We start from the raw sequence: 15,491 nt of genomic DNA, 5'->3' as shown, positions 1-15,491 counted from the left end.
AGAGATCAAAAGGTGGTCGCCGGCTAAAGGTGACGGGTCCGAATGAGGAAGTGGGTAGGGGGCCTTCCCTGCCCACACGTGGCCGTGACCTCCGCAGAGGGCTGCAGGAAGGAGCTCAATGCGGAACCGCGAAGGCTGCTGCAGCCCTCAGATCTAACGCCTTTGACGCGTTGGAGCTTGTCAGCGATAAAACCTGACGTGTGAAAAAAGAACAAAGGGAAGTCGGAAGGCTAGTGTATATCAAAGGAAAGGGGCTCCACGAAATGCTACAAAGAAATACTTCAGCCCAAAATGTTTTCGCAATTTGAGACGCTGATGCAGCCGCCGCTGCTCCACCTGCAACTCTGAGCGTTGCCTTCTCTTTAACTGCCACTTTGATACCGCAGCCTTTTGAAGTCCTTTTTCCTACATGTATTTGTAATTTATTTCTGCAACAGCTAGAACTTACTGTGGCTGCTGTTTACCCTCTAGTTGGGCTCTACTGCGAGGCAAGGCAAAAGTCAGGTCCGTCGGCGCCCTCTCCTGGTAAAGCTGCGAAGCTGCAGCAAACAGAGCTAAATTGGTATTTTCCCGTTTGCTGCGGCAAATTTTTATTAAAGTGTACCCTATATTTATGATTATTAAACTTTAGTGTTCGCCAGAATCGCCTGCAGGCCTCCTTAAAACAAGATGTCTAAGTCCCCACCCCCACCTCCCCCCCCCCCCCGGATTTCTGATTCACTAGGTCTGGAGTGGAGCACAATACATTTGCATTTCTAGCAAGTTCCCAGGTGATGCTGGTAGAGCACACGCCCAGAACCACCGCCAGGTACACAAGTCACTGGACAAGGTGGGAAGGCATCTTACTCAATCAATGGACCTTATTCTAAAGCGGGAAGGGCACTGAGAGTAAGTAAACTGAAAAAGGTTGCTACTTGCCAGAGTCGTAAGGGATGAAATATGTTTTCTCAGTCGCTGCTCAGGGGTTTGTGGCTGAGGCCCCAAAAACAAAAGACAGACTAAAAAGAGAAAAGCATATGAATTCATTTAAGTTAAAATTTAGGCCAGGCGCAGTAGCTGACACCTATAATCCCAGCACTTTGAGAGGCCAAGGTGGGAGGGTCGCTTGAGCCCAGGAGTTCAAGACCAACTTGGGCATCACAGGGAGACTCCACCTCTACAAAAAATAAAATATAGCCAGCCCTGGTGGTGCGTGCCTGTGGTCCAAGCTATATGCGAGGCTGAGGCAGGAGGATGGTTTGAGCCCAGGAGTCGGGAGGTCAAGGCTGCAGTGAACTGTGTTTGTGCCACTGCACTCCAAGCCTGGGTGGCAGAGCAAGACCTGTCTCCAAACAAATTTTTTAAAAAAGTTTTACCTGACATAGGAGCCTTTGGCAATGTCCCAGAGGAACAGGGAAACCTGTGTGTTTTCATTCTTAGGTTTGATGAAGAGAGTACAGTGCTGTGAAAGTATGATTGGACAAGGGGCTGTGATCTAATGGCAATAAGCCGGAGGGAACTTAGCAAGGCTTGTTTGTTCAGATTCTTCACGGCATTTCTGTGTCTTCTGCTCCTTTCCTCGAGGTATAGGGAGGGTATCTCTCAAATGAGGAGTCTACGACCTGCTTCAGGGGAAGGCCAACAACTTCTTGGATTTTATGACCTGCTTCAGGGGAGAAGGACAAGGGAAGGTGAGAGAGACCTTCCTGCTTCTGCTGTTTCCTCAAATGCCACAGTGTCATATTTTGGGGTATTGTGTTCTGAACCCCCAGCAGTGTCATTCAAGGTCGTAAATGGTGCCACCTCAATGAGCAATCAGGCCTCTTAACCCCAGCCAGTGCACTTTCCATTACGATGTGCTGGGGGCCTCAACCCTGAAATGACATTGATTTAAATAATTCCTGTGACTGCCACCTAGGAGGAAAAACAGGCCTCAGAATGTTGCTGAGACAGTCAAACTTACCATCTCCACTGCTTGCTAATCACATTCCCCTAGCAGCATCCACCTCTCTCCTGAAAATCTACAGCCTGAGAGCACAGCTCACAAGAGTCACAGCCATAGGGACATAGTCAGGTCGTCAGGAGCAGGTGTGAGAAAGCCAATCTTTGGCTGCTGTTCCAGCCACTGCTGGCTTCCCATTGCCCTGAGGACAGGCTTTCTTGGGGGCCCTAAAGTAACACCCTCTGATTTCCCTTTTTGTCCCACTTTGTGCCTTACCACTCTAAGTAATTTCTAGTTTCTTCTCTCTCCCTATTGAAGCTTTGCACTTGTGTGTTTTCCACTTGGAATGCCCTCTCTGCACCTGCTCAGTGACACCCCTTCCTATCACCACACTTGTCTGAGGAACTCCTAGTCATCCATCACAGCTTCAACTTTATCTTTGGACAGCCTCCCTTCACCCCTGCCCCCGACTCCCATACTAAAGTGCTCTGCAAGGAAGAAAAGATTGATTCCTTCAGGCATGGCAAGTTTCATGACTGAGACCCCACAGCCAAAGACAGATTAACGAGAGAAAACCATACACATTTATTTAAGTTTTATGTGACACAGGAGTCTTCAGAAATAGAAACCCAAAGAAACATGGAGACCTGCATGTTTTTATGGACAGTCGTGCAGAAGTGTGAGTGGAGGACAAAAAAAGGGTGTGATCTAATGGTGATAAACTGGGGGAAATTGGCAAGGCTTGTTTGTCCAGATTCTTCCTGGCACCTCTATGTCATCAGACATGAGGATATCCCTTTTCTCTGGGTAGAGGGAGGACTTCTATGGAACGAGGGTCTTATGACCTATTTTAAGGGAAATTCAGCTAGGTTTTATGGCCCTTTTCAGAGGATAAGGGATGAGGAGAATTCTTTCTAGAGTCTATGGCCTGATTCTGTTTCCTCAAGTGCCAAGGTGCCATATTTTGGGGTAGGATGGCCTGAACCTCATAAGCTCCCACAGCACCCAAGCAGACCATGAACCTCAGCACTCTATAGCAATTGCATGTTCATGGTGGTCCCTCCACTAGACTTCCCTGAGGGCAGAGACCATATCATTTTCATCTTTGTTTCCTTCAAATTTAGTACAGCGCCTACAACAATGCAAAGGCTAGAAGGAATGAAGGCAGGGACATGGAATGGAGAATTTCCATTTCACGGATCCACATAAACTGAAAAGGAACAAGAGTCGGTGAGACCAAAGAGCACTGAAGGCCATGAACCACCACCATTCTCAACCCCTGGGCCAGGCAAGAAAAGCCACGGTTCCTGGAAGGGATGACGACAGGTACGTTATGCCGAATCCTGGAAATCCTGGAACAAATCATAAACTTTGAAATGTCGTGGTTGGGAAGGACCTTGGAGATTTCACAGAGACACAGAAAGGTGGCATGAATTGTCCACAAGGTCCAAAATTTTTAGCAAAGCAATAGGAAATGGTACTCAGGTCGTCAGATTCGTAATCCATTATATTTTCACCACACCTTACGATAAAGATACTGGATATAGGCAGGGCATGGTGGCTCATGCCTGTAATCCCAGCACTTTAAGAGGCCAAGGCAGATGGATCACTTGAGGTCAGAAGTTCAAGACCAACCTGCCCAACATGGCGAAACACCATCTCTACTAAAAAATACAAAAATTAGCCAGGCATGGTGGTGCATGCCTATAATCCCAGCTACTCAGGAAGCTGAGGCAGGAGAACTGCTTGATTCTGGGAGGTAGAGGCTGCTGTGAGCTGAGATTGTGCCACTACACTCCAGCTTGGGAGACAGAGCAAGACCCTATCTCCAGAAAAAAAAAAAAAAAAAGATATTGGATAAGCCCAAGGATGAAAAAGTGAGACTGAGAATAGCAGGAGGCTCCCAATAACAGTGCCAGTTGTGGCAGCCATGGGGTGTGCTGTCCATACCTCCCTCCAACAAATCACTTGCTGGCAGCTGCCAGGAGTGTAGCTAACTGACAGCTTACAGCTGTTAGAAACTTCAGGCTTCACCTAGGCTTTTAAGTCTTGGCTATGCTCATCCTCAGAGGCTCCCAGTCTCAGCACAGCAGGTGGACTATGGGACCATGCTAATGGGCAACCTTTGAGAACTCCCAATTGGGTTGGCCAAGACAGTCAGATCTGTATAGCAGTCTGAGGCTTTCCCTGCACTATCCTGTTGCTTCTCCCTATCTTTCACAGGCCTTTCCTCTCATTAAACCTTTTGTACTCCTAACTCCATCTTACCATCTGTTTTATGGAGGACCTAACAGACACAGTGACCAAAGCTACAGGGGCCTCCAGAGGAAACGGTGAGAACCACAGGAGAAAGGGGGTCTTTGCTGCTGACGGCGAGCACCCAAGCCCAAGCTCCCAGTGGTGATCTCTCACAAGACCACACAGCCGATTTCCCTGGAGACAGCACAACCTGTTAAGGGCATCTTCCATGCCATTAAGGGTCAGTTCTCATTTTTTTAACCTAAATCTCCAGAACTATATATCATGTGACCTTGCTTTCCTACCATGGAAGAATTTCCATGACTCTTTCTTTTTGTGTGAGCGGAATTTGGATAAAGAAAGAGAAATCAGGGGTTCCAAAAGAAAGATCCCCAAAATTTCATTTTTAAAGGCAAGCTCACATTTAACAATGGAGCTAAGGGATTCTCTCCAAACGTCATACCACAACCAGGCACACAAAATCATCTCCTTAATCCCAGTGAACATTACCAGTGCATAAAGTAAAAAACACCAGGCGCTCCATCTCACAGCATAGCCTTTCACCCATGTACCCTTTTTTAACCTATTGCCAGTTTCAGAGTTCTTTCCATTTAGGTGACATGTTCTCAAAAAGTGCTAAGAGGCCAGGTGTGGTGATGCACATCTATAATCCCAGCTACTCAGTAGGTTGAGGCAGGGGGATTGCTTGATCCCAGGAATTTGAGACTGCCGTGAACTATGATCGCACCACTTCACTCTAGCCTGGGCAACAGAGCAAGACCCCATCTCAGAAAAAGAAAAAAAAAAGAAAACTAAAAGAATTAAAGAATTATCTTCTCTTATAACTTCAAATGTTCTCAAATCTACTGGCAAATTTTCAAATTTTCTGACATCCTAGAACATATTGGTTAAAAAGCTGGAGCTGAGATGGGTAAAAAGGCAATACAGTGAGCAGGCTTACCTTGGGAAAACTCACTCAAATATCTGTTTACCTTTGTCCACCAGCAAGCCATCTTCAAAGCCTGTGACACGAGAGATTTCAAATATATCTATGAGTATCTTCCCAGCAACTCCAGCCTTATAGGGCTAAATCCTTTCAAGGTTCCAAAGAGAGAAGAGCAATTCGCCTCCAGTTGGGAGTAAGGGTGGGCTAGAGTAGTTCATTTCAGGGAGAGGATTGCCCTTTGGGAGTTAACTAAAAAATCAACCACAGAAACCAGCCACATACTTCATACTTGATAGATTTTTCTTAGCCCTCCATTTTATCATAAATTAATTTTTAATCCAGATTTTTAATCTTTAGCCAGCTGAAATTTCAGATGTGTGCCTATCTTTAAATGTGTCCCTACTGGCACTTGCTCCATTCATAGTGATGCAGGATAGGCGAGCTCCAAAAACTAGGGCTCAGCCCAGGCGGATTCTTGGCTTTGCCCAGGAAAGAATTCAAGGGCAAGACAGAGGTGTTAGCAACTTTTATTGAAGCAGCAGTGTACACAGCAGCAGCCGAGGCACTGCTCCTTGTGGAGCAGGGCTACCCCAAAGGCAATGTGCCCAGAGCAGCAACTCAGGGCAGTTCTGCAGTCACATTTATACCCACTTTTAATTACATGCAAATGAAGGGGTGGATTATGCAGAAATTTCTAGAAAAAGGGTAACTTCCAGGTCATTGGGTCATTGCCATGGAAAGGGGTCATAACTTTCGGGTGTTGCCATGGCAATAGTAAGCTGACATGACAGGCTGGTGGGCATATCTTATGGAAAGCTGCTTCTGCCCTGGCCTTATTTTAGCTAGTCTTCAATCTGGTCCAGAGTCTGAGTTCCCACCTCTGGAGTTCAGTCTCACCTCCTCCCTCAATAGCATCTCCAAAACAGCAACATAAGTATACCTTTAAAATGCTGTGTTCCACCGCAATCATTATTTGTTGTCCCATCTGGCTCTCAAAGACACATTGCTTGATAGATGAGGTGATGGATATGCCAAATACCCTAATTTTATCATTATACATTATATACATGTATTAAAATAACACTATACTCCATACATATGTACAATTATTATGTGTCAATTAAAAACAATATTAAAAGCAAAAAAATAAAACACATTTCTTGGTCAAAGTAGACCTAGGAACAGATACTGAACTGGATAGTTATTCTATTTTAGCTCTTACTGTCAAAGACAGTTTAGAATTAGGTTCATTTTCTTTGCCTCCAGGCTTTTATAGAACTCTGGGAATCAGAAGGTGGCTAACAGGGCACCTGGTTCGTCTACCATGTTTAAGCAGGGCCACGCTTAAACCTTACAGACAGAGGAGAATCTATGTTTTAAAATAATTCTCAAGATACTAAATGAATGAAAGAGGTCATTTCATGAATTATATGGTGAGTAATGGACAGTTGTGCACATAGATGATACAGCCATTGGCTGTACTGCCTGTAGAGATTCAGACTGCACAGAAGTACTACACTTAGGCATGTAATCTCATCTGGGATGCATTATCAAAAGATAACCACATAATGGGGCAGAAGTTATAGAGCATTTCCCAGTTTCATAAATGAATTGAATTGACTTTCTAAAGTCCTCTGAGAATGTGCATAAAAACCTGAGAAAAGGAACATCCTTATCTCACCAACTGTGATCAACTCTCAGTGTATTTCCCGGGAATTCACAGCCGGCAAGTCCACTCACTGACCCAATTGGGCATGTCATGCCATTAACTCAAAACTGGACACTCATTTCCAGGAAATCTTTTGAGCCTGAATCATCATCACTATAATCAGCATAAAAGAAGAGGGCACAAAGGTTTCACTTGGATGAAGCTTTTGACCTAGCACTAGAGAGTTGTTTGCAAGGCCTCAGCCTGGGATAATTCTTCCAGTCTTCATGACTCTTCTTAAAAGAAGATAATGATTTGTTACAGACTGCACTGGGGAAAAAAATAGAATCTCATGTGTGCTCCTGTAGCACTGGATAGAAACTCAGCTGACATTCCAGGTGGCTCATTTATTGCATGTATATCTATGGGGAAGCTGTTTAACCTTTGGGAGACTCAGTTTTTTTAATCTTTGTAGTAAAGGTTATATCCTGTACCTTATGGGGGGCTGCAAAGATTGAATGACATTTAGCATAGCAGTAGGTTTAAGAGCTGCTCTTTGGCACCAGATTCCCTGTGTTCAGAATGTCTTCTTACCAGCTCTGTCAGTTTGGTCAAGTTACTTGCCCTCTCTTCATCTCAATTCCTCATAATAATAACATCTGCTTATGGTGCTGTTATAAGAATGACATGAGTTAACAAAGGGAAAGTGCTGAGAGCAGTGCCTGACACATATTAAGCACTCCCAAAGTGTTCGCTATCATTTTTACTGTACATTAAGAACCAAGCAGGGCTGGGTGCAGTGGTTCATGCCTATAATCCCAGGGCTTTGGGAGGCTGAGGTGGGAGGATTGCTTGAGGCCAGGAGTTGGAGACCAGCCTAAGGAACATAACTTCTCTACAAAAATTTTTTGTCAATTAGCTGGGCATGGTGACATCACCTGTAGTCCCAGCTACTTGGGAGGCTGAGAAGGGAGGATCACTTGAGCCTAGGAGTTTGAGGCTGTAGTGAGCTATGATTGTGCTACTGCACTCCAGCCTGGGTGACAGAGCAAGACTTCATCTCAAAAAAAAAACAAGGCTGGGTGCGGTGGCTCACACCTGTAATCCCAGCACTCTGGAAGGCTGAGGTAGGCGGGTCACTGGAGCCCAAGAGTTAAAGACCAGCCTGGGTAATATGGTGAAATCCTGTCTCTACAAAAAAACACAAAAATTAGCTGGGTATGATGGTGCATGCCTGTAGTCCCAGCTACTCAGCGGGTCTGAGGCGGGAAGAGGACTTGAGTTTGGGAGGTCAAGGCTGCAATGAGCCATGAACACACCACTGCACTCCAGCCTGGTTGACAGAGCGAGACCCTGTCCTCCCCCAACACACACACAAAAGCAAAACAAAAGAACCAAGCAAAATCAACGCCTGCACTGCACATTCTAGACACTCAATAAACAGGAATTGTCTCTCTCTCCACTACTCTTTTGGCCAACTCCAGGGGGAAATGTTAAGCAACGTTATTCAGCACTAGTTATTTGTCAGCTCCTCTCATAAATCAGGGTTACAGCCAAAGACAGCACTCTCATCTTCATGGGCCTAGGCTTCTCTGTCTCATTTTACAATGGAAACATATCAAATGTGGCTGACCCCAAGCCCAAAAAAAATGACCTCTAAAGCACTCCTGACAAAAAATACACATCCCTATAGCCCACCTGGCTCCAAACAAAAAACACACATCCCCCACTCACTGACCCACACATGTGCTTCCAATCCCCATGATTCCATAATTCAACAAATACTTGCAAAGCACCTGCCATATGTAAAGCCATAAGAGGAACACAAAGAAGAAGTCAGCGACCTGCCTCAATGACCTGATTGTTAGTAGGGGAGAGGAGAAACAAAAGACTGCAAGCATTAACCACCTTGCAAGATAAACTGAGTGCTAAAGGAGAAACGCAGTTCAGTAAGGGGTCAGAAAAGACTTCAGGAAGGAAGTGAAGTTTGGACTTCATCTTAGCTCATGTGTGGAATTTCAAATGGGAGTGATGTGAATGGGGAATTCCAAAAGGAAGGAAAGTGGGAGTAAAGGTTTAGCTGTTGGAAAGCTTGGGGAAAATACCAGGAAAAGTATGTCGTCTCACTATATGTCATATCAGGCAGGAACTTGGGATAAATAAAAAGTTGGCCCCGGGCGTGTTGGCTCACACCTGTAATCCCAGCATTTTGAGAGGCTGAAGCAGGCGGATCACCTGAGGCCAGGAGTTCGAGACCAGCGTACCCAACATGGTGAAACTCTGTCTCTACTAAAAATACAAAATTTAGCTGGGCATGCTGGCGCACACCTGTAGTCCCAGCTACTCAGGAGGCTGAGACAGGAGAATCCCTCAAAACCAGGGGGCGGAAGTTACAGTGAGCCGAGATTGTGCCACTGCGCTCCAGCCTAGGCAACAGAGTGAGACTCCATCTCAAAAGTAAATAAATAATAAATTTAAAAACCTAAACGTTGTAGATAAAATGTTAAGGATGTTTTAGGGCAGAGCTGAAAGAACATCAGAATATATTTAAAGTGGGGAGCCAATGAAGCTTATTGAAAGGCAAGGAGGTGACATGATCAAAGCTGGTCCTTGATGGTAAATCCAATGTTATGGAGGCTGAATTTGAGAAAAGAGAGAAAGGAGTTAGGTGACTATCACAATAGTGTAAGTGAGAAATTAGACTGTTTGGTGGAAGGAATGGGAGAAGAGAATGACATTGGATACAGTATCCACAGATCTTGACCAGTGATTTAATTTGAAGTTGAAAAGAGAAAGAAATCAACAATGAGCCCCGGATTTTACACCTAGCTGCCTGATGGAACAATGAAACAATGTCTTCTGCAGAAGTGGGAAACAGGAGTCTGGTTCTGGCAAGAAATAATGACTTAGGTTTATCCCTCTGAAAGAGCTAGTACTGCCTCTTCTAGGCATCCTTCTATGAAACTGCAAATAGTGGGAATTTATTTTCTCAGCTTTCTTTATTTACAGGAGTCCCTATGAAAATCATGGAGTCTTGGGACTTCTGAGGCAAGAGGAAAGACGGCAAAAGCAGAGGCAAAGACAGAAATAAATCTTCTCTTCTTTTCTTCAGTTTGTCTGACAAGCTTATCTTTTGATCACGAGGGAGAAAGAAATAGATGACAAGAGGAGTTTCCCCCACTACAATATAAGTTCCATAAAAGCAAGGATTTATATTTTCTTTCTCTTTTGTTCACTGATGTAACCTCAGTACCTTGGACAGTCTCTGGCAATAGGGAGAGCTCAGTAAATGTTTGTTGAATGAATGAATGATCTCCTTCTCTAGGCATATGAAGAAATAAGGAAGAGTGGTCACTCACAGCTAACTCAAGATTCCCCTCCCACCCCAATCATCTACCCTGTTAATTCTTTTTCATCCTTGTTCAAAAAATACCTAGAGGCTGGACACGGTGGCTCGTGCCTGTTATCCCAGCACTTTGGGGGCCAAGGTGGGAAGATGGCATGAGGCCAGGAGTTCAAGACAAGACTAGGCAACATAGGGAGACCCCATCTCTACCAAAAACAATTCTTTTTAATTAGCTGGGCATGGTGGTACACACCTGTGGTTCCAGCTACTTGGGAGGCTGAGGTGGGAAGACTGCTTGAGTCCAAGAAGTCGAGGCTGCATTGAGCCATGATTGAGCCACTGCATTCCAGCCTGAGCAAGACCTTGTCTCAAAAAAAAAAAAAAAAAACCCTAAAAATAATTCTCAAAGAGCCCTGCTTTGTATTATCACACTCTAGCAAAGTTATCAGGAATTGACACTTGCGGGTAGATACAGCCAAGGAAATGGCAGCTCCCTGAAGAGCAGGAAGCAGTTTATGACACCAAGCAAATCTGGTTTCTCGCTGGGAAGGGAGGCTGGTTTTGGAAGTATGCAACAATTTGACTTATTTTCTTAATTTTATTTTCTATTTATAGGCTTACTGAATTATTTTCATCCATGCCCTTTTAAAATATGGTTGGTAGAAATTTGCCATTTGAGACTAGAATCCCATTCGGAATCATGTAAGTCTCTTTTGACTCCACGAGGACATCTTTCACCCAGTTTTGGGAAATCTGAGGAATGGATTCTTCTACAGACTGATAAAATATCACAAGGTCCAAGAGTTTGTGTGAGAAAGAGGACATCAAGGTAAAATTTTTTAAGTGGATAAAGATGGAGAAGTAGAAGGATGTTATTCAAAAGTGTAGTTTATGATTAAGGTTGGTCGTGACATCAGAAGCCTTTAATATCAGGCCCACCCATCCGGATTCATTAAGCAGATTGTGTCTTATCTTGCATTTCTGTTTCCTGAGACTTAATCATGGTTTCCTCAGTGAGTATCATCCGCTGCCTAAACTTCATAAGAGGATGTTTTCTTTTTTGGAAGCTACTACTCATGGGCTGAAACTGACTTTCAAACCTACAACTTTAAACTATGTAATACTTGATATGAGCAACTCATCCCACTCCTTTCAGATTATTCCCTAGGATCATTTATTATGTGCCTACTGCATGCAAGGCACAGTGGGAATACAGATACAAAGATAAATAAGATTGTCTCTGCCCTGAAGAAAACTATAATTTCTGTGTGTAGAAAGACACACAACTGACTTTTCTATCACAGACCATCCAAGTTCTGACATAGAGTCACTAGAGGTTTCTGAACAGTAAGTATGATCATTCAGGCTTAGCCTTTGTAGATGTGTTTTGCTTTATCTCTGTCATGACTAAATTCATCCCTACCAAGAAAGTACATGGGAAAAGATAAGTTATTTTGTTCATTTCACAGATATCTATTGTTCAATCCATTTTGAGGAGTTATGTAGGCACCGACTTCTAGTTAAATCCTAATGAGAACTAACACCATGGCAGAGCTAGAGCTGATGGTGAGAAAAGTAGTCAAGGCCAGGAAAAAAAAAAAAAGTTAACCAGGTGAGGAAGCCAGGAAGAAACAGGGGAAATAGGGGTCAGGGAAGAGATGTGGAAAGATATAGAAATGTGAAATCTAGGAAACAGAAAAAAGAATCTAATTTAGAGTCATGGAAATACCAAGACACATCAAGATGCATGAGTTGGGGCCTCACATATGGTATTGGATAAATATTTGGGACTGAATGTCCTAACAAACAATTAAATGTATCTTTTTATAATCCTTATATTTATGATTCATACTTGTTCTCTTTGGAAAGCAAAGCTTGAACTCTGTCATCTCTGTTTAATTTCCCATGTCATCTTAACATATACTAGGTTAATGTATCATGATGTATCATTTAGGTAGTTTCCTGTTGTAAATAACCTATGTCTTATGTTACTTGCAGTGATGGATGTGAACGTGGTAGACATACAATGGAAGGCAAGAAGGTATCTCAACACAGCAGAACAAGACCCCATGAGGAGCCCAGAAAAAAAATAAAGAAGGTTCCTCACTGGTTAGGAATTCAAAAGCAGTCCTGGCAACCTCATAGCATCTTTACCTCAGAAGCAGGCAGCTCTGGTTACTCCACCATTTTCAGGAACAAGGTTTTTCTCTCCCCCTCTGCTGCATTTCCTCTGCGGCTCCTGATCCATCTGCCTCTACCTTCTTCCTAGCATCAAATTTCCTCCCAGGAGACAACATGAATGGGTTAAGAAGTACCCAATGAGGGCTGCTCCAACTGGACAGCATCTTTGAAACTGGGACCTCACAGATGGTCATCACAGGCCCCTGATGCCTGGGTACCCAGCGACCAACCCCAGTCTAGTCTGTCTATAGCAACATAGGTGAAGGGGAGTCTCAGGGGCTGCCTAAAGGGCTCAGAATGTGGTGAGTACTTAAGACTGCATGGATTTTCACTGTTTACATGAATATAGGACAAGTATTCACAGAACTATTAGCTAGATCTGTGAACAAAACATTAATAACATTGTATGTCCATGTCTGAACCCCTGAAATTCCAACAACCACCACCCGCCTACCAACTTGCAGCAAACCGGCTCTCTCCACAGTCTTCCCCAGATCAGGGAGAAACAATTCCATCCTTCCAGTACTCAGACTGTAAAACTGGATTCATTCTGATTCCTCTCTCACACATCCCACACCTGATCTGACAGGAAATCCTATAAACTCTGCCATTAAAATATATCCAGAAACAGGCCAGGCACAATGGCTCATGCCTCTAATCCCAGCACTTTGGGAGGTCGAGGCGGGCGGATCATGAGGTCAGGAGTTCGAGACCAGCTTGGCCTACATGGCAAAACCCTGTCTCTACTAAAAATACAAAAATTAGCTAGGTGTGGTGATGCACACCTGTAATCCCAGCTACTTGGGAGGCTGAGCTAGGAGAATCACTTGAACCCGGGAGGCACAGGCTGCAGTAAGCCAAGATCGTGCCACTGCACTCCAGCCTGGGCGACAGAGTAAGACTCTGTCTCAAAAAAAAAAAATATATATATATATATATATATGTCCAGTAATGTGCAACTTTCACAGTCTCCACCAGGATCATCACAGTCTAACCACTGCTTCCTCCAGCCTGAACTTACTGCAAGAGGCCACTCACTGGTCTCCAGGCATCCACTCTTGCTTCCCCCACGCACCCCACCACCAGTGTCTATTCTCAACAGAGCAGCCAAAATTGTCCTTTTAAACATTGGTTGGATTGTGTCTTCTGTCTGTTCAAAACTCTCCAGTATGTCCACATGGATCTCAAAATAAAACCAAAGTTCTGGCCAGGCACAGTGGTTCGTGTCTGTAATCCCAGCACTTTGGGAGGCTGAGAAGGGAGGGTGGCTGGAGCCCAGGAATTCAAGACCAGCCTGGGCAACATGGCAAAACCCCATCTCTCCAAAAAATACAGAAATTTGCTAGGCGAGGTGATGTGTGTTTGTAGTCCCACCTACTCAGGAGGCTGAGGTGGAAGGATCACTTGAACCCAGGAGGTTGAGGCTGCAATGAGCTGTGATCACGTCACTGCACTCCAGCCTGGGTGACAGAATGAGACTCTGCCAAAAAAAAAAATTCAAAGTTCTTACCACAGCCTACAAGACCTGCCATGACCTGGTCCTTCCTACCACCTGTCTCATCTTTGCACTCTCACTCACTCTGTACCAACCACACTGGCCTCCTGGATGTTTCTGGAACATACCAAACATGCTCTAATCACCAGTCTTTGCACTGGATTTTTCTTCATTCTGGGATGTTCTTCCCTTGGAACTCCACAGGGCTAACCCCCACAGTTCCTGCACATCTATCAATGATGTTTAACAAACCACCCCACTTCGCCTCTGCAGTATTCCCAATCGCCACACCTGCCCTGTGTGGTATTTTATCACATACCATGTAATTAACTTATTTGCTATCTTTAGGAAAAGGGTTTTTTTTTAAATTTTTTGTTTGCATGTTTTGTTTTCTTTTTGCTTTTGGTATCTCTTCCCCTGGTAGAATGAAAGCTCCGTGAGAAAACCTAGACGAATCTCTGAAACTTAATGCTCAATAAATGTTTGTTGGTGAATGCCTGATTTACAGGACAGCTGAAGCAGTTTATTAATTTAGAAGAGCTTATTAATTTAGAAGTTATCAACTATTGTAAAACTTCCACTGCAGTTTGAAGTTTGATGTGATGGGTTGAAAAAAACCACAATTAGCAAAGTGCACTCTCCTTTTTTTCTATTTATCTTCTAATCACCAGTCTGCTCTGATGCTGATTGACACACAGATACTGATGTGTTGTTTCCCATAAATTCACAAGCCAGTGAGTCAGTCCTTCAGGTAATAAACAGATGGCTGTCGGCCAGGTGAGATGAAAAGGCATGGTTGCCATCCTCGAGGAATTTACGTGTAGCATGCGTGATTTATTGCACTAAGGTATAAATATAAGGTATAAGAAATATCTTACTGGTTTGTTGTGGTGGTTTCTTGTGATTTTTTCTGTCTCTAAATAAAATTAAATCTGCTCCATTCCCTCTGAACCAAGCTTAGGCTGAGATTCTCTGCTGTGGGTCCCAAGGCCACTACTCTTAGCGTGTACCACTCTAGCTTCTATATGTCCTCCTTAGTGGTCCTCTTAACTCCTGAGGTGCTGTGAGGGATGTGACACAGGTCCATGACACCCTCAGAATGTTCTATTACCAGACACCCTTCCTACATCAGGGAAGCTAATCCTCCACAAGGTAAACTCTTTTTTTCAACAAAGGCAACTTCTCGTCCCTCCCTCTCAATAATCCTGAACTCCAGGCTGGCCGAGGAGACTCACGCCTGTAATTCCAGCATTTTGGGAGGCCAAGGCAGGCGAATCATGAGGTCAGGAGTTTGAGACCAGCCTGACCAACGTGGTGAAACCCCATCTCTATTTAAAAAAATACAAAAATTAGCTGGGCATGGTAGTGCGCGCCTGTAATCCCAGCTACTTGGGAGGCTGAGGCAGGAGAATCACTTGAACCCGGGAGGCGGAGCTTGCCGTGAGCTGAGATCCCGCCACTGCACTCTAGCCTGGGCAACAGAGTGAGACTCTGTCTCAAAAAAAGAAAAAAATAATAATCCTGAACTCCCAAAGATTTGTTACGTCAGCCTAAAAGGTGTTGGGCAAGGGAGGTGCTCATGTGACACAAGGAATTAGATCTTAATTCATCTCTTTACCTGATAATATGTCTGATAAGACAAAATAGCTTCACAACTGTTACAACAAAAGAAATTCTATAATGAAACTTCTAGGCTTAATGTATAAATTCTCAGAC

The 15,491-nt window shown here is 44.1% G+C and overlaps 1 long non-coding RNA gene across 5 annotated transcripts, besides 1 other annotated feature; it reads left to right on the top strand.

The window, feature by feature from the left end:
* Window positions 350–644: a silencer, noted in NCBI's record as "tiled region #6134; K562 Repressive non-DNase unmatched - State 12:CtcfO". NCBI's record gives its function as "represses a minimal TATA promoter and a strong SV40 promoter by Sharpr-MPRA in K562 cells {active_cell/tissue: K562}" and the evidence as "EXISTENCE:reporter gene assay evidence [ECO:0000049][PMID:27701403]".
* Window positions 782–14,276, top strand: LOC102723784 (uncharacterized). 5 transcript variants are annotated; one of them, XR_947643.3, is made up of 6 exons: window positions 782–888; window positions 1,564–1,670; window positions 3,046–3,247; window positions 4,216–4,400; window positions 10,715–10,928; window positions 12,098–14,276. It is a non-coding gene; the product is annotated as an uncharacterized LOC102723784 (long non-coding RNA). The 5 variants fall into 5 exon arrangements; XR_947642.3 differs by lacking the exon at window positions 4,216–4,400 and having other exon boundaries at window positions 1,570–1,670; XR_007066257.1 differs by lacking the exon at window positions 4,216–4,400 and having other exon boundaries at window positions 1,570–1,670; window positions 10,715–11,446.
* The last annotated feature ends 1,215 nt before the right edge of the window (window positions 14,277–15,491 follow it).

This window comes from Homo sapiens, chromosome 1, assembly GCF_000001405.40.
Source record: "Homo sapiens chromosome 1, GRCh38.p14 Primary Assembly".
NCBI classification, from domain to species: Eukaryota; Metazoa; Chordata; class Mammalia; order Primates; family Hominidae; genus Homo; species Homo sapiens.
This window is presented reverse-complemented; position numbering and strand designations above follow the sequence as displayed.